Here is an 18,141-nt window from a genome sequence, read left to right as displayed (position 1 = left end):
GCATTTTACAGGAATGAAATGAGGCAATTTGTGTGAATGTTCTCTGAAAATTGTGTGGTGTTGCCCATGGATGGTCTTCCAATTACACTGTAAATGTCAGTGATTAATCAAAGTGTGAATGGTGCCAAGTGCAGTGGCTCACACCTGATTTCCTAGCACTTTGGGAGGCTGAAGCAGGAGGATTGTTTGAGGCCTGGAGTTTGACACCAGCCTGGGCAACATAGGGAGACCCCATCTCTCCAAAAAAAATTAAAAATTAGCTGAGCGTGGTGGTACGTGGTACATACATGTAGTCCTAGCTACTCAGGAAGCTAAGGTGGGAGGGTTGCTTGAGACCAGGAAGTCAAAGCTGCAGTAAGCCATATGTGCACCACTGCACCCCAGCCTGGGCAACAGAGCAAAACCCTGTCTCAACCAAAAAAAAAAAAAAAAAAAGTGTATGAATGGGACCCAGGAGCCTCCTGTGAGAGAAATGGCCATGATAGGTACTGCAGAATCACAAGAGGGTCTCCTAAGGAAAGGTAAGTAACGCAGAGAGATTTCCCAAAAAATAATTCTGTTACAAACTCTACTATTCTCTTGTGAATTTTTTTGCAGACGTCTACAGTCTGAAAAAAGCAAATACAAAATCTACCAAGGAGGTTACTGTAGACTCAGTTTTCCATATGATACCACATATCTCCTTGGTGGTACAGACGTTGTGAATCAACAAAATGACTTGCTAAGAGCCTCCTATATGCTACAAGACACATTAGAAATTCTAAAGCTTTAACTTCAATATGAGTACAATTCTAACATGCTTCATATCTACCCTGGTGTGGATTATTCTGTTATTATCCATATTGAAACTGATTATCTGCAGTATTCACAAAGACTCTGTAGGGTTTATGGGTCAATGTAAGCAAAACCTTTTTCTTATTAATATCTAATAAAGAGAACTGAAAACATCCCTAGATACACCCTAAAGGAGAAACTTGCAGTACCAATTTGTTTATTACAAATAATCTCACAAATTCAAGAAAATTGGAGAGATCAGCCTGTATTAGTAAAAATAATTACAAGAAATCTTTAAAGATGCAACATAAGCTGGTTTTGAACCAAGTTATCTGCAGGTAGGAGGATTGCTATACTTTTTTTTAAGTGACACAGTGATACACAGATATGTAAATTGTTGGCTGCCATAAGTTTTTAAAGAGTGAAATTACTTCTAAAAAGGCACATTTTGAATAAATACCAGAATCATAAAGTATTCATTTTTTAAATTATCCTTTTTTTCAAGTCTGCAATATCAAGTTTCACACCCTGGCCATCATGACCACACTGAAAACACTCACCTAGTTTACTGCTTATCCTACCAGGTATCAGCTCTGCAGCCCATCAGAATGACTGGTTTGCTGCTGCAGTGATATTTGGACTCTCCAAACATCCAGCTTAGTGAGCTTTCACACAACAGTTATCAGCCTTGGTACACATATTTTGCTATGTCACATAAATGAGAAGCCTGGATATTCCCAATATCTTTGGTTTTAAATTTAGACAAACACCTTCCCAGTGAGTTTCTAAGGATTTGTATTTTTGGTAAGAAATAGAAATAGGAACATTTTCAAATTCTTCTGTACAGTCAAAAAAAAAAAAAAGTTGGCTCCCACCTATAATCCCAGCACTTTCGGAGGCCAAGGTGGGTGGGTGGCTTAAGGTCAGGAGTGCTCAGGTTGGTCAGCCTGGCCAACATGGTGAAACCCTGTCTCTACTAAAAATACAAAAATTAGCCGGGCATGGTGGTGCGCGCCTGTAGCCCCAGCTACTCGGGAGGCTGAAGCAGGAGAATCGTTTGAACCCAGGAGGCAGAGGTTGTAGTGAGCCGAGATCACACCATTGCACTCCAGCCTGGGCAAGAGAGCTAGACTCCATCTCAAAAAAATAAATACATAAAAAGTTGGTTCAAATGAAAATCTTACTTGGTCCTCACTCCTCTAAAATTTCTATTCAGAACATTTAAAATTGGGACCTTTTGTGCGGTTAACCCCTACAGCCGCATTTCTTTGACTACCTTTCCAGAGGTGGCAAGCCACATCACAGGGTAGCCAGTACAAGATCTTATTTGGGGCCATGGCTAAGAAGACCTGATCATGATACTGCCATCACAACACACATGGACAACTACTTACGGAAGTATTTTAACGTCTCTTCAATTTGCTCGGTTGTGAGGTCAATGTTGGCATCTGGAGAAATGAGAGGTGTATGGAGCCAGTCGTCGTGGTCATAACCGTAGATGGTGTCGGCTCTTAACTTATAATGGGGCAGCTGCTCCTCCAGCAGGCTAATGATCTCGACTTCCGGAAGATCGGTGCTGTTGCACACATCTAAAGACAAGACAACCAAGAAATGAGAGCCCAGAAATGGCTATGGCCTTGCTGCTAGTTAACTAAACTTGTAGCCTGCGGCAGGTATCTTCGGTTATTTATCTACAGCACAAAGAAGCTAGACAAGGCTATATCAGGAGTCTTTTTCCAATTTAAATTCTAGTCTCAAAACTTTGAATTGTGCATGCTTACGGCCAAGACCTACCCAAATGTTTCCTGCTGTTTAGTGTCCACTATTTAGGAAGAAAAGCCAAAATTTTTGAGCTTTTATCATCTGAGTTAAGTCTTTCCTCCAACCCTTTCTCTGGCCATTCTCCTTCAAGCGTTCTACATGTCAGCCAAACCAGTATTAATTTCACCAGTATGCCTAACTTCTTCATGCCACTCTTTTACCATTGAAGCTATCCTCCTATCTAGAATTTTGCCTTCATTTAATTTATTCATTCATCTGTTCATTCATCCACACTTCCTTCCTTCCATCGATCCATCCATTTGAATCCTGAGTACCACGGGCAAAGGAGACACAGTGGTGAACACAAGAGTCATGGTCCTGCCCTTGAAACACTTATATCCTTATGGGGCATCCAGCAATCACACCAATAGGTGCCCATCCTTTAAGGAATAGCTTGGTGTTTTGAGCACACCAAGCAGAATTAATCTCTCTTACCCTTTCTATACTGACATGCCATTTTGTCAGAACTTCAGTTACTACACTTATTAAGTGTCTTGTGGGTATTTCAGTGTCTGATTCATCTTGTTGGGAGAGGGCAAACTTCCATACACAGCTACCCTTGATCCACCACCTGTACCCCATAGCTCTTGGCCCAGGCTGTGCTCAGGGGGTGCATACTAATGCCTGTGACGGAGAACCAATTCACACAAAGCACATTAATGCAGGCCTTTAAAATGCAAACATGACAACATGGCAAACATAACCAGGATATGTACCCTACTTCTCTATCCCAGTGCTTACTCATCAAAGCAGAACACAGAGACTGAATTAAATAAGTGCTAATGGGTGAGTGGTAATTATCTATCAACTAATTCTGGCATCATCCACTGTATCAGCCTATTTGCATAAGGCATTCCCTATGATGGGAAACAGCCCATGGGAACAGCAGTGGTTTTGTCAACCCATAAATAAACCAAGTGCCTGTGGTGCACACAACTAGACAGGAGAGGAGAGTTAACTTGGTATTTTGTTCTAGGAATGACTCTTCAACAAAGAAAAATTATTCAAAAGATAAGAATATTACTGAGGTTGATTCTTTTTTTTTTTTTTAAGACAGTGTCTCACTCTGTTGCCCAGGCTGGAATGCAGTGGCACAATATTGGCTCACTGCAGCCTTGACCTCCGATCCTCAAGCATTCCTCCCACCTTGGCCTCCCGAGTAGCCAGGACCACTGATGTGCACCATCAAACCCAGCTAATTTTATTTTTTGTAGAGACAAGGTCCCTATGTTGCCCAGGTGGGTCTCGAACTCCTGGGCTCACGCAATCCTCCTGCCTTGGCCCCCCAAAGTGCTGGGATTACAGGCATGAGAAATCTTGCTGGGCCTGAAGTCAATTCTTATCAAAGTCACAGTACCAAGTTCTCGCTTTGAAGTAGAAAACAAAAATAAGAACCTGGATCAAGTGGAGGACCAAACTCACTCTTCAGTCTCCATCCCTCTCCAAGATATTAGAAGGGGCAGAGGAGAGAAAAAAAAAAAATACTTGTGACAAATAAAACCACACAATAGCAGGGAAAATAAAGAGGAGATGCTGAGGACGAACCAAAAGTATGAGGTATTCCTAAACACGGTAAGATAAAATTAAAGGAGAAAGGCCCAGTCTTACATATGAGCATTCACTCGCACATGCGTGCATGTCTGCACACACACAGGAAATGACTGGTGCAGTCAGTGGGAGTAGATCCTGGGGTGCTCCACACGGGAGGCTACTGTCACAGGAAGCAGGAAGGGCCAGGGCCAGGGATTCACTGCAGGGCCAGGGCCAGGGATTCACTGCAGAACCAAAGCAGGAACAGCAGGGAGAACCAGTCCCTTCCCTGTTCCCCCTGCTTGAGCCAAGGCCAGGAAGGCAGGAAGGCAGAAAGGCAGTAACTGTGGGGCCTGTACACACTCAGGTAGAACATGGAACACCTCTGCCTGGAAGAAGAGCAATGCCAGAGACTTTGTGTCAAATAAGAAGGCCATTCAACAGGTGAAAAAAATACGGATTCGTGAGAAAAGAGAACGTAGAGTTATGACTCATCACCCTTTGGGCAGGAGCCCACTGAGAACACCTGTCAGCACCCACCCCTCCCGCAGCTTCCTACCATTCCGTACTAACTGCTCTCCCTCAATTCAATATGCAAAGCTTTGCCATAGAGCATTTCCACTCAGGAAGTCAGCATGGTTTTCCAAAATGTCAAGGAAAGGGTTAAAAATGAGAAAGTGAGGACATTCAGAATTTTAGTTGGAGCTTTAGTCCTGGAGGGGGGACTCTATCTCACTGCTGGGACTTCTCTGCCTCATGGGGGAAATGTCACAGCAAGCATACTTGGTATTTCAGCCAGCCAAAAACAAGACCAGACCTGCTCCGTCACTTTGCAAAGCTCTGCTGGGAACAGAAGCTATGTCCTCCCCCAGGCAGAGCAATAGCCCAACCTCAAGGCAGAAGATTTTTCACATTTCTTCCCATCTCCCACTAGCAATAAACCACCATCCAAAGGCTCAAGATGGGCCCACAATAAGCAACATTTCCTCTTCTCACTATCAAGCAAAGAGTGAGTTCCCATGAAGTTCATCTCTAGGAAAGACCTCACAGCCACAAAATGCCACCATGTAACTGAGGGAACATGGGGTTAAACAGGGCTGACACCTAGTCGGTAGCATCTCTTGGCTAAACATGGATCTGGTCAAACTGTCTCCACAGCAGCTCCACAGAAGGCAGTGCCAGCCTATCCCTAGTAGAACAGGCAGGGAACCAACACATTCCCGCATGACACACCCACACAACAGGCTGGAATCATCTGGTGTCAATGCTGTTTGGTGGTGGGGAAGGCAACAGACTCCAGAAAAAAAAAAAAAAGTCCCTTCTAAGAAATCTCAGAATAATGTCTCACTTATGAGCATGCTTCCAGTTGCCCAAAAGTTGAGACTTGACCCGTCCTTCCATGTTTCCAGGGCTGAAGGTCAACCTATTTACAGTGTGGGTCCTTGTGCCCATGTGATATCTTTTTCCTTAAAGCATATGACCAGTGAGATAAAGTATCAAAAGGTAAGGCTATGAAAAAATGCCTTTTTAAAAAACTCTGGCCCAGGCGCAGTGGCTCACACCTGTAATCCCAGCACTTTGGGAGGCTGAGGCTGGTGGATCACTTGAGGTCAGGAATTCGAGACCTGACTGGCCAACACGGTGAAACCCTGTCTCCACTAAAAGTATAAAAATTAGCCAGGCATAGCGGCGCACGCTGGTAATCCCAGCTACTCAGGAGGCTGAGGCAAGAGAATCACTTGAACCCGGGAGGCAGAAGTTACAGTAAGCCAAGATCACGCCACTGCACTCCAGCCTGGGCGACAGAGCGAGACTCTGTTTTTAAAAAAAAAACAACTGTATATTTGATTTTTCTGTGACATGACCAGCCTTATAAACATTAGCAGCAAATTTTCAGATGCTTTAAAGGCCCAAAGAATTAGGACATGGGATAGGATTATGGAGATGGCCCGTGCAGCTCTCCTTAACCTTGGCCACAAGGCCAAAAGCCCCACAGACCCCCTATGGAAGGAGACACCATGTTTGCCTCAAGGGGAGGACACATCCAAGGCCTGACATCAGGTAAACGTAACAGAAGAGTCTTCAAGAATTCCCCAGGAGGCCAGGCGCAGTGGCTCACGCCTGTAATCCCAGCACTTTGGGAGGCCAAGGCGGGCGGATCACGAGGTCAGGAGATCGAGACCATCCTGGCTAACATGGTGAAACCCTGTTTCTACTAAAAATACAAAAAATTAGCCAGGCGCAGTGGTGGGCGCCTGTAGTCCCAGCTACTAGGGAGGCTGAGGCAGGAGAATGGTGTGAACCCCGGAGGCGGAGCTTGCAGTGAGCCGAGACTGCGCCACTGCACTCCAGCCTGGGGGACACAGCAAGACTCCGTCTCAAAAAAAAAAAAAAAAAAGAATTCCCCAGGAATGCTTTCACCATGCCAAACATCAAGCCAGACCATTGTCTCACCGTCCCAGCAATGTGGCACACAGAGATTTGCCTGTTATTACAGATCAGTAAGCTGGGATGCACGAGGGCTGCGGCACATCTTGTTGGTCAAGTTGATTCAGCTAACTAAGCAGCAGATCAGGTAGGAGCAGCCTCAGCTGTTCCACTAAAAGCTGTGATCTCCCCTCCAACACCTGCTACCCAGCTCCTAGGAGGGTGCACTTGAAATGCTGGGGAATTCCCAGGATGTCATCATCAGGAAGTTTTTGTTCTAAACAGGTGGAAGACTTCATACTTGTGGTAGGCATGTAAAATGAAACATAATCACAAATTAGGGAGGTGTTGGAATAATTTTCCCCTTTAAAGCACAGGAAGCAGTAGCCGGGCGCGGTGGCTCACGCCTATAATCCCAGCACTTTGGGAGGCTGAGGTGGGCGGAACACGAGGTCAAGAGATCGAGACCACCCTGGCCAACTTGTTGAAACCCCGTCTGTACTAAAAATACAAAAATTAGGTGGGTGTGGTGGCATGCGCCTGTAAACCCAGCTACTTGGGAGGCTAAGGCAGGAGAATCACTTGAACCTGGGAGGCGGAGGTCAGGTTGCAGTGAGCTGAGATCACACCACTGCACTCCAGCCTGGTGACAGAGCGAGACTCCATCTCAAACAAAACAAAACAAAAAAAAGCACAGGAAGCAGAGGCAAGAATTTACTAACTTGTCTGCAGAACCACGGAGGGTCAGGAACCTGCACAGGACAGGAGCTTATTCAAGCTCCTGCTGTGAATGGACACTGCCGGCCCACCATGGAGGAAAGGAACCCTTTATGCTCTCTGTGGTCACCATTTCCCCACAGTTACAATTCACATTAGTAACAAGCTAATGTAAACAAGTCAAAATGTGTTCTCAAATAAGTCACAAATGAAGGGCATCAATTTCCTGACCAATCCCAAAGCCCAAAGGTCCATGGCTTCAGGTAGATATGCAATAACAACAGCCCAAAATCCCACCAACCCCCAGCCTGTCAAACCATCAAAAGGCCAGGCTCAACCATAAGGAGAGGCTTACCCCTCGGCATCGCCTCCTTGCCCAGTTACTGTAATGCCCCATGGTGGCCGGCCACATTGTGGCTGGTGCCATTTCTGGAAAAGAGCTTTTTATTTATTTATTTTTTTATTTTTTGTTTTAAATAGAGATGGAATCTCACTGTGGTGACCAGGCTAGTCTCGAACTCCTGACCTCAAATGACCCTCCCATCTCATTCTCTCAAAGAGCTTTTTAAATCATACTATTGCTCTTTAAAAACCTCCCAGCTCCCTATAAAGTGCTTCATCATTCTGCCTCTACGTTTCTACAGGAGAGGCTACTGAGTGTTTCCCAGTATGCAATTGCCACTTCTTCCTTTTGGTCATGCAACCCCCAAGATGTGGCTGGGCCCACGGCCAACCAGCTAAAAACTGTGTTTCCCAGCTTTCCCTGCAGTAAGGTGTATCCACATGCCTGGTTAACAGGATGTAACAGAACTTCCAAGTCATGCCCTTTCCGTCTGTCCAGTTGCAGAGTTGGCCTGGTGCTGGAGCCATGCTTAGCTAAATTAGTAAAGGCAATGCCCAGGAAATGACCAGAGCTACCTCAGCTGCCTGAAACACCCTGGACCTCCTTCCACTTGAACTTTTAAAAGTAAAAGAAATAAACAACTACCTTATTGAGGCTACAGTTCCAATTACTTTGGTCTCTGTTAAAGCAGCTAACTCAACACCCTAACAGCCTTTCTTATCAAGCCCAGCCTCTGCTATTTTCTCCAATTTCCCTTCACTTAAGGCATACCAACTTCTCACCATTTTCCAAACACATTTTTTTCACAAATCTGAGTTTTTAGACCAGCTGTTTTAGCTCCCTAGAATGCCCTTCACTGCCTAGCAAACTCCATCTTAAAATATCATTCAAATGTCACTCTCTATTGCAAAGCCTCCCTTAACCTCTCTTCTCTGGCTTCCACAGTTCTCAGTACATAAATGACTTCACTACGATGTTAGAAGTGTATTCTCTGTGGCTCTTCCCTACTAATTGTGAGCCCCTCAAGAGAAAAGGCTTTGAATTATCCACCTTACCTTCAGCCCAGCCCTTACTACTTTGCCAGGCAACAGTAAGTGTGAGAAGAGTGATGGAACAAGGGAAGGAGAGAGCAGCAGCCGGTGGCAGGACTAGTCTGTGAATCCCCTGCCTGTCCAGGACAGACACATGCCCAGCCTGCAACATGAGGCAGGTGGAGCCATCTAGTGTCAAGGTCTTTTCAAACCCACCTCAGTATCACCCTAGGTCTTTATCCAGCATAGAGGAAAGTCCCATGGGATGGTAAATGTCCCCTCAATTGCTCAGCAGATGTCAATCCAATACCTACCATTCTTATGACATCACTTTGAAAGTAAAATAACCTAAAAGGACTCTTTACCTCTTCAGAGGTATAACCCTTCCTAGGTTTTTCCCAAGGCGTAAGATTTGGAATGGACCCTCCTACCCAGGATGTGGGCTTCAGTTAGGGCCACCAGGGAGTGAAGAAAGTGTGCTGGAGCCTGCTTGGCACCTGGAAGGTGCAGAGCTGCAGAAGCAGCTGTGTCCATTCTCCACCTGACTGGGGCTAGATCCTCACCTGCAGAGAGCGGCTAGGAGGAGACTCCTCCGTCTAGGGATTTGCACTGATTCTCAGGTGACATGCCAGCTTCACAAAACCTGCCAGGTGCCTGAGGCAATGCTTACATTTTACAGCAAAGGCAATAGCTCTAAATTAGTGTCCAACATTTAACACTCAGAGAACCTCATGTAAATACAGATCTCAGCGGGGCGCAGTGGCTCACACCTATAATCCCAGCACTTTGGGAGGCCGAGGCGGGCAGATCACTTGAGGTCAGGAGTTCAAAACCAGCCTGGCCAACATGGTGAAACTCCGTTTCTACTAAAAATACAAAAAAAAAAAATTAGATGGGCGTGATGGTGGACGCCTATAATCCCAGCTACTTGGGAGGCTGAAGCAGGAAGAACTGCTTGAACCCGGGAGGTGGAGGTTGCAGTGAGCCAAGATCGCAGCACTGCACTCCAGCCTGGGCGACAGAGTGAAACTCCCTCTAAAAACAATAAAAATACAGCACTTTGGGAGGCCAAGGTGGGCGGATCACAAGGTCAGGACATCGAGACCATCTTGGCCAACATGGTGAAACCCCGTCTCTACTAAAAATACAAAAATTATCTGGGCGTGGCAGCACGTGCCTGTAATCCCAGCTACTCGGGAGGCTGAGGCGGGAGAATCGCTTAAACCCAGGAGGCAGAGGTTGGGCAGTGAGCCGAGATCAGGCCACTGCATTCCAGCCTGATGACAGAGCTAGACTCAGTCTCAAAAAAAAAAAAGAAAAGAAGAAATACAGATATGTGGACTCTCAGAAGAAGTCAGCCTATCTAGGATCAAGGGACCTCCTCCTCCACAGAGGAGTTAAATGCTCTGAGTGGTGGCCACCTCCAGAGAGGGAGTGCGATCATTCCAACAGGGTTTCTGGGCCTCGTGCCTGCACGCTGGAGCTTGAGGGCTCTAAGCCCAGGAGAACAGGGACCTGAGTAGCTGCAAGGTGAGCAGAGTGTGCAGAAGAGCTGTCTAGAAGGAAAGTAGCCCTAGACACTCACCCAGTTGGCAGGAGATCTGAGAAAACAGCAAGGGGAGAGGGAAGAATAAAAGACAGGAGAGAGAAAGAGGAAAAACCTAGTGAGAGAAAGCTCAAGCAAAAGCAAAGGAGGAGAGAAGAACAGGAGAGGGAGGAAAGGAATGCCAGAAAGAGGCAATGGCAGGAAACCAGCACCACAACTGCCACCTGCTGGAAGCCGAGAGGCCCTGGGTGCCGGCCAGGAGCACAGTTTCAAGAGTTTGGAGAAAGGACGCCCAGCCTCGGTTCTGCCCCCTCAACTTCGTCCTATCACTCTGGCAAATCACATGTTCATATGCCTGGGACTCAGTTTCTTCCTCTGTAGAACAAAGGTAAGTGGCTGCAGAAAAGCTTTCTTCATACCCTAAATTTCTCTGAGCGGTGAGAGCAAGAGTTGCACATTCTGAGGGCTGTGTCTGGGGGGCAGCCGCCACTCACAGCACTTCCCGGTGACGCCCCCAGTCCTTGACATGCTGACTCCACCCAAGAGACCAGGGATCTGTATTTTTATGAGAGTCCCTGATTTCTAAATGTTGAATACTGAGGGCCAGATTAAACATGCATGCCTCCAGTCTGCACACTGGGACTTCCATCCTGGCGCCACACTCTGGGACTTCAGAGAATGCTACAGACCACATTAAAGGTGACAAAGAACAAGAAAAGGGACCTTCGCTCATCAAATAGTGGCCACCATACAGAGGTCCATCTTTTTTATTTTTTTCCTCCCTGTCCCTCTCCCACTCCATTTCTTTACCCACCAACTTTCCACTTGGCCATCAGAGAGGTGGGTGCAGAGCATGACCCCTGGCTATGCTTGGGGAGGCAGGCGCTCTGGCTAGAGGCAATAACCCTCTCTCATGACACATTACCCATGGCAGTGACTGCAAACCCACAGCAATGTTTTAATGACTTCACAAGACAACACTCCTCACCTACTCAGCCACTTGGAAACCATTCTGTACAGACTTGGAAACAATTCCATTTTCTTAAAATTATAAGGATTAAAGGGCAGGAATAAAGACTCATACATAGGCCACACTGGTGCTGGAGATGTATGTGATACTTTGTAAGTGGTATCTGACAGACAACCTTCTAGAAAATTCCTCTCTATCAAGGGACTATGCAGTTTACAGCTTTAGCTGAACATCTTCAGAGATTCAGTCTTAGTAATTACTTTCCATACCACAAAAGTTGTGATTCCACAAATTACAAAGAGGACATTAGAGCTAAAAACTACTGGCGCAACCTCCTCATTGAATGGAAAAGGACACTGTGTTCAAGCTGAGGAGGTGGCCAAATGTCACAGAGCAAACCAGCAGCAGACTCGAGATGGGTGCTTGGCCTGCGGCAGGTCCCACCATGCAAGAGGCCTCGGGATGTAGCGACAGCACCTCCAGATGCTGATTCGCTTTCCGCTGTTTGCCCAGCACCCGGAACCCTGCCTGGTAACTAGTAAGTGTTCAATAAATGTTTGCTGAACAACGCAAAGCACTTGTATCTATTACTGCCTTTCATTTACTCTCACAAGCCAGCAGGCAGTGCAGGATGAGGATTGGGAACACATTTCATAAATGAGGAGACCCAGATCTAAAAGACAGAAGGGGAAACTGTGGCCCTGCAAGGTTCAGAGACATGGGGGAAGTCTCAAGGCTAAGCAGTGGCAGAAATGGAAGCAAGACCTCCGACTCCACCCTGGCTCACACCCCAGCCACAAAGGGACAAGGGATAGGTCCAAGTCTTCCTTTTCTGCCTCTCTCCCCACTGAGGGACAGCTCACTTGCTGTGAACAGCAAAGGGGATCTCCAGAAGAGAGAAGGACAAGCAGAGAAACCCTCATAGGATGGGAAAGGAAAGACTAACTATGCTTCAGAGACAGGAACGAAAACCAACACTGGGGAGTTCTCTAGAATTCCATGGCCTTAATTACCAACAGAAGAAACGCTTTCTAAGAAAACGGACACAAAATTACACAGTTGAGTTCCACATAGCCTGGTGTCACGTACCGAGTTACCATCTACTCACACATACATGCACCAGCCCCGGTGACACATACCCCCAAAGAAGCAGTCGCACAGAGACAGCCAATCCAGCCGACTCAGCCGTGTTTGGAAACAGGGTGTCCGACGTGAGGCTAAAGGGCAACTGAATGTGGCGCATTCCACTTGGGCATGCCAGTTTGTTGCTCAACAAGAAAGGACAAGAAGGGCAGGGCAAAGGAAAGGGAGGAAGGATCCTGTTACGGAGGCCCCAAAATGTCACAACTAAAAAAAAACAGGCGATAATTACAGTACAGGTTATTAGTGTTAGATTGATTCTAATATTAAAACACAAAGCAAAAATTGTACACAAATTTATTTTAAACGTGAAAGTTAACGTGTATAAGTTCAGCCCAGAGTTAAATCTCCAGGAGAATACTCAAAAAATAGACTATTACTGTCGATTTGAATTTGTTTTGCTAGGAAATAAAAAGATAAAATACTTTTGATTTCCAATAGTCTTGGTAACTTCTCTTAAAAGCATATGTTGGCTGGGCACAGTGGCTCACGCCTGTAATCCTAGCACTTTGGTAAGCGGAGGCGGGCAGATCACTAGAGGCTAGGAGTTCGAGATCAGCCTGGCCAACACAGCAAAACCCCATCTTTACAAAAAATACAAAAATTAGCCAGACGTGGTGGTGCACGCCAGTAATCCCAGCTACTTGGGAGGCTGAGGTATGAAAATCGCTTGAACCCAGGAGGCAGAGGTTGCAGTGAGCTGAGATCGCACGATTGCACTCCAGCCTGGGCAACAGAGGGAGACTCTGTCTCAAAAAAAAAGAAAAAAAAATTAAGTATGTTACATGCTACAATTATCAAATAACCAAGGGAAGATTATTTTACATGAAAATATCCAGTGCTGTATGAATGTAATTAAAGTGCTCACAACTGAACTAGTGTTTAGACAGATGGAGCTGGTGTAAATTGGAACAACACTTGCAGTAAACAGTTTGACAGTATGTTTAGAGAACCAAAAATGTGTCCATGATCCTTAAACCAGTAATTGCACCTGGGATTAAATCTAAGAAAGGAATAAAAACAATCTGAAGTGTAAAATTCATAAGCATGTTTACGGTACACGTGACAAAGTTAAAAACATGCATAACCAGGTTCCTCAAAAAGTCAAACACAATTGCCATATGTTGCAGCAATTTCACTTCAGCAAATTCCTGCCACTGCTTATATTTCAAAAGAAGTGAAAGTGGGAACTCAAACAGATATTTATACACCCGTGTTCTTAGTAGCACAGATAAAAACAATCCTAACACCCATCAGCAGATGAATGGATAAACAAAATGTGTAGATATACTGAAGTATTATTCAGCCACAGTAAGCAATGAAGTACTGATATACGCTGCAACATGGTGAACCTTGAAAATATTATGCTAAGTGAAAGAAGCCGGCCTCAAAAGACCACATATTGAATGATTCCATTCATATGAAATGTCCAGAACAGGTAAGTCCACAGAGACAGAAAGCAGATTAGCGGCTGGCAGAGGCTAAGGGAAAGGGACAATGTGGAGCGACTGCTAATGGGGAGGTGGTTTCCTTTTGGGGTGATGAAAATGTTCTGGAACTAAACGGTTATGGGTGCACATTTTGAATGTACTAAACGCCACTGAACTATACCCGTTAAAATGTTTAAATGGGCCCAGCCCAGTGGCTCACGTATGTAATCCCAACACTGTGGGAGGCTGAGGCAGGACGATCACTTGAGCCCTGGAGTTTGAGACCAGCCTGGGCAACATAGTGAGATCCCGTCTCTATAAAAGAAAAACGGTGCTTTTGGCCAGGTGCAGTGGCTCATGCCTGTAATCCCAGAACTTTGGGAGGCTGAGGTCGGTGGATCACCTGAGGTCAGGAGTTCAAGACCAGCCTAGCCAACATAGTGAAACCCCGTCTCTACTAAAAAATACAAAAATCAGCCGAGTGTGATGGCACACACCTGTAGTTCCAGCTACTTGGGAGGCTGAGGCAGGAGGATCACTTGAACCCAGGAGGCAGAGACCAAGATCATGCCACTGCGCTCCAGCCTGGGCAACAAGAGTGAAACTCTGCCTCTCTGCCTCAAAAAAGAAGGGTAGGGGTAGGGGTAGGGGTAGAGGTAGGGGTAGGGGTAGGGGTAGGGGTAGGCGTAGGCGTAGGCGTAGGAGTAGGAGTAGAGTAGAGAGTAGAGAGTAGAGTAGAATAACAATGCTTTTGAGAAAATTAATTTTTTTAATGGTTAAATGGCAAATATTATGTTTGTTTTGTTTTGAAGAGATAGGGTCTCATTCTGTCACCTAGGCTGAAGTGCAGTGATGCAATTATGGCTCACTACATCCTTGAACTGGGCTTAACTGATCCGCCCACCTCAGCCTCCCAAAGTGCTGGGATCACAGGCATAAGCACAGCGCCCTGGCCTATAATACTTTTTAAAATGACATTGTTAGGCCAAGTGCGCTGGCCCATGCCTGTAATCCCAGCACTTTGGGAGGTCAAGGCAGGAGGATCACTTGAGCCTAGGAGTTCAAGATCAGCTTGGGCAAGATGGGAAGACCTCATCTCTACAAAAAAAAAATTAAAAATCCAAGTGTGGTGGCACACACCTGTAGCCCCAGCTACTGGGGAGGCTGAGACAAGAGGATCCCTTGAGCACAGCAGTTAGAGGATGCAGTGAGCTGTGACCATGCCACTACACTCCAGCCTAGGAGATAGCAAGACCCCATCTCTTTAAAACAAACAAACAAACAAAAAATTAGTTGGTTTTTTTTTTTTTTTTTTTTTGAGACAGAGTCTCACTCTGTCACCCAGGCTAGAGTGCAGTGGCATAATCTTGGCCTAACTGCAACCTCCATCTCCCAGGCTCAAGAGATTCTCGTGCCTCAGCTTCCCAAGTAGCTGGGATTACAGGTACGTGTGAACAAGCCCGGCTAACTTTCGTATTTTTAGTAGAGACACAGTTTTGCCATGTTGTCCAGGCTGGTCTCGAACTCCTGAGCTCCAGTGATCTACTCGCCTTTGCCTCCCAAAGTGATGGGATTACAGGCATGAGCCACTGCTCCTGACCTTTTTAATTGTTTCCTTTTTTTTTTGAGATGGAGTCTCGCTCTGTCGCCCAGGCTGGAGTGCAGTGGTGCAATCTCGGCTCACTGCAACCTCCACCTCCCAGGTTCAAGTGATTCTTGTGCCTCAGCCTCCCAAGTAGCTGACCCAGCTAATTTTTGTATTTATAGTAGAGACGGGGTTTTGCCATGTTGGCCAGGCTAGTATCGAACTCTTGAACCCAGGAGGCGGAGGTTGCAATGAGCCGAGATCGCGCCATTGCACTCCAGCCTGGGCGACAGAGTAAGACTACGTCTCAAAAAAAAAAAAAAAAAAAAAAAAGTAAGAGCTGAGGAAAGGGATTAGATTACCATTAGGTTCATGGAATTCCTCTTCCCAAACTTTCCTTGGAGTCTTAGTACACTCTGGAGTAGGGGCTACTTTTTGACCAGAGAAGACACACACCTGGTACAGAAAAGTGCTTTGAAAACCAGTCTCCTGAAAAAGGGAGAAGCTCGGGAAGTGTGAAAACTCTTTTCTAGATTTGAAAAAAAAAAAAAAGAAGATGTCAGCCCACAGCATCTTTCAAAACAAGTGTTGGCAAATTTCATACTTATCCCTGTAAAATACTATATAAGGCATCAAATTTTGTCATAGGGGTTACAAAACTATAAACCCAGCCCAAAACAGAATGATCTTCGTGTAATTTTTAATAAATAAGAAAATAATATGGGTTTAATCAAAATAGATGCATTTTGAATTTAGTAAGATTACCATAACTAGGGCTGGGCGCAGTGGCTCACACCTGTTATCCCAGCACTTTGGGAGGCCTAGGTGGGAGGATCACGAGGTCAGGATATCGAGACCACCCTGGCTAACACAGTGAAACCCCGTCTCCACTAAACATACAAAAAATTAGCCGGGCATGGTAGTGGGCGCCTGTAGTCCCAGCTACTCGGGAGGCTGAGACAGGGTAATGTTGTGAACCCGGGAGGCGGAGCTTGCAGTAAGCCAAGATCGCGCCACCGCACTCCAGCCTGGGCGACAGAGTGAGACTCCGTCTCAAAAAAAAAAAAAAGGATTATCATAACTTCTAATCCTGTGGCTTTAGGCAGCCTAGTCCACGGACAATAAGGAGGTTTGTTTTGGGAAAAGGACTGGTATCCTCTTTGTTTCAAAGCTAAACTATGAGTTCCTCCCAAAGTTGGTTCTACCTGTGTCCAGGAATGAATAAGGACAGCTTGGAGGTTAAGAGCAAGATGGAGTCAGTTAGGTCAAATCTTTTTTCACCGTCTCAGATTTTCTGGGTTCACAACTCCTTCTGGACCTTCTGTCTGGAACACTTTTCCCTTCTCTGCCAACCACCCCTTTGCCCTCTGATCCCAGATGGACTGACTTCTTCAGGGCCACCTCCCTAGATAGGTGGGCTAAGTTACCCCCTTGGCCCCTGGCATTTTCCACCCATCACAATTTGTAGTCACTGATTTAGTGATTGATTACCAGCAGTCTCTGTCATTGGACTACACAGCTCCAAGAGGGCAAAGACAGGGTCTGCTCAGGGCCAGAGCAGACACTGAATAAATGCTGCAGGATGGAATGAGCAGCCATCTGGTTCTTCACAAGCACCTGCAGTGCCCTGCGCTGGGAAAATCGACCCTCACAAACACTGAGCAGAGCGGCCAGGACCTTCACTGAACACCTGTGGGAGACCTGGGGCTTTTGCCAAAATGATGCCTTTCTCCTGGTCACAAAAATACACAAGGCAAGACTTGCTTTTCTGTCTTCTACTCCTCTACTCCCTCCTGGGCCACAAAAAGCTTGGTTGTCAAATGGCAAAGCTCACACCCCACCTATAAAAGGCAAGGGGCTCAGCCAGGACAACAAAATTCAACACATGAAGCTGAATTGGGCAAGGGAAGTCAGAATAGTGTGAATGTTTACAACCCTCAATGGGAAAAAAGCCCTTCAGCTCTTATGCTGCAAAGGCAGGAGGAACCCTTTCAGGACTACTTCATAGGAACTTAAAAAGCTCTGTGTGTAGGACTCCATCCCCAGAGAGGAGCACCTCAGCCTTGCATGGCTCTCAGCTTACAGGGGGCTGTATTTTCTCCTGTGCTCACCTTAGCAGAAGCCCCAGATCCATCAACCCCCACCCCTCAACACACACACATACACACCCCACAGCCTTTCCCTCTATTGTTTGTGTGGCTCCAGCCACAGCCGGGAACTGCCCGTCTGGGCTATTCAAGTTATCCCCACATGGACAGTTTTTATAAGTGTTCTGGTTACAAAGTTGCATTACTCCTGGTATTTTTAGTGTCCAATTTTGCAACACACACAAAGTTTATATATATATATATATATATATATATATATATATATACTTTAAGTTCTAGGGTACATGTGCACAACGTGCAGGTTTGCTACATATGTATACATGTGCCATGTTGGTGTGCTGCACCCATTAACTCATCATTTATATTAGGTATATCTCCTAATGCCATCCCCCCCGCCACCCCTACCCCATGACAGGCCCCGGTGTGTGATGTTCCCCATCCTGTGTCCAAGTGTTCTCACAGTTCAATTCCCGCCTGTAAGTGAGAAAATGCGGTGTTTGGTTTTCTGTCCTTGGGACAGTTTGCTGAGAATGATGGTTTCCAGCTTCATCCATGTCCCTACAAAGGACATGAACTCATCCTTTTCTATGGTGGCATAGTATTGCATGGTGTATATGTGCCACATTTTCTTAATCCAGTCTATCATTGATGGGCATTTGGGTTGGTTCCAAGTCTTTGCTATTGTGAATAGTGCCACAATAAACATACGTGTGCATGAA

General features: G+C 45.9%; 1 protein-coding gene across 24 annotated transcripts in view, besides 5 other annotated features; it reads right to left on the bottom strand.

Annotated features, from left to right (window-relative positions):
* The window catches only part of TRAK1 (trafficking kinesin protein 1), a 212,798-nt gene that overhangs the window by 98,108 nt on the left and 96,549 nt on the right, over positions 1-18,141 (bottom strand). For all 24 annotated transcript variants that reach the window (NR_146089.1, XM_047447718.1, XM_017005909.2 and 21 more), the window contains one exon: positions 2,169-2,363. Coding sequence is in view for 15 of the 24 variants with exons in the window: in XM_024453400.2 (XP_024309168.1) it covers positions 2,169-2,363 (195 nt within the window). In the remaining 9 variants the exon portion in view is untranslated. The remainder of the gene's footprint in view (positions 1-2,168; positions 2,364-18,141) is intronic.
* Positions 4,154-4,253: an enhancer, noted in NCBI's record as "active region_19738". NCBI's record gives its function as "activates an Ori minimal core promoter by ATAC-STARR-seq in GM12878 lymphoblastoid cells {active_cell/tissue: GM12878}" and the evidence as "EXISTENCE:reporter gene assay evidence [ECO:0000049][PMID:35858748]".
* Positions 4,434-4,703: an enhancer, noted in NCBI's record as "active region_19737". NCBI's record gives its function as "activates an Ori minimal core promoter by ATAC-STARR-seq in GM12878 lymphoblastoid cells {active_cell/tissue: GM12878}" and the evidence as "EXISTENCE:reporter gene assay evidence [ECO:0000049][PMID:35858748]".
* Positions 4,824-5,013: an enhancer, noted in NCBI's record as "active region_19736". NCBI's record gives its function as "activates an Ori minimal core promoter by ATAC-STARR-seq in GM12878 lymphoblastoid cells {active_cell/tissue: GM12878}" and the evidence as "EXISTENCE:reporter gene assay evidence [ECO:0000049][PMID:35858748]".
* Positions 5,094-5,273: an enhancer, noted in NCBI's record as "active region_19735". NCBI's record gives its function as "activates an Ori minimal core promoter by ATAC-STARR-seq in GM12878 lymphoblastoid cells {active_cell/tissue: GM12878}" and the evidence as "EXISTENCE:reporter gene assay evidence [ECO:0000049][PMID:35858748]".
* Positions 8,582-8,671: an enhancer, noted in NCBI's record as "active region_19734". NCBI's record gives its function as "activates an Ori minimal core promoter by ATAC-STARR-seq in GM12878 lymphoblastoid cells {active_cell/tissue: GM12878}" and the evidence as "EXISTENCE:reporter gene assay evidence [ECO:0000049][PMID:35858748]".

The sequence above is a fragment of the Homo sapiens genome, chromosome 3 (assembly GCF_000001405.40).
Source record: "Homo sapiens chromosome 3, GRCh38.p14 Primary Assembly".
Classification (NCBI taxonomy): Eukaryota; Metazoa; Chordata; class Mammalia; order Primates; family Hominidae; genus Homo; species Homo sapiens.
The sequence above is the reverse complement of the archived record's forward strand: the minus strand, read 5'-3'. Positions and strand labels throughout refer to the sequence as shown.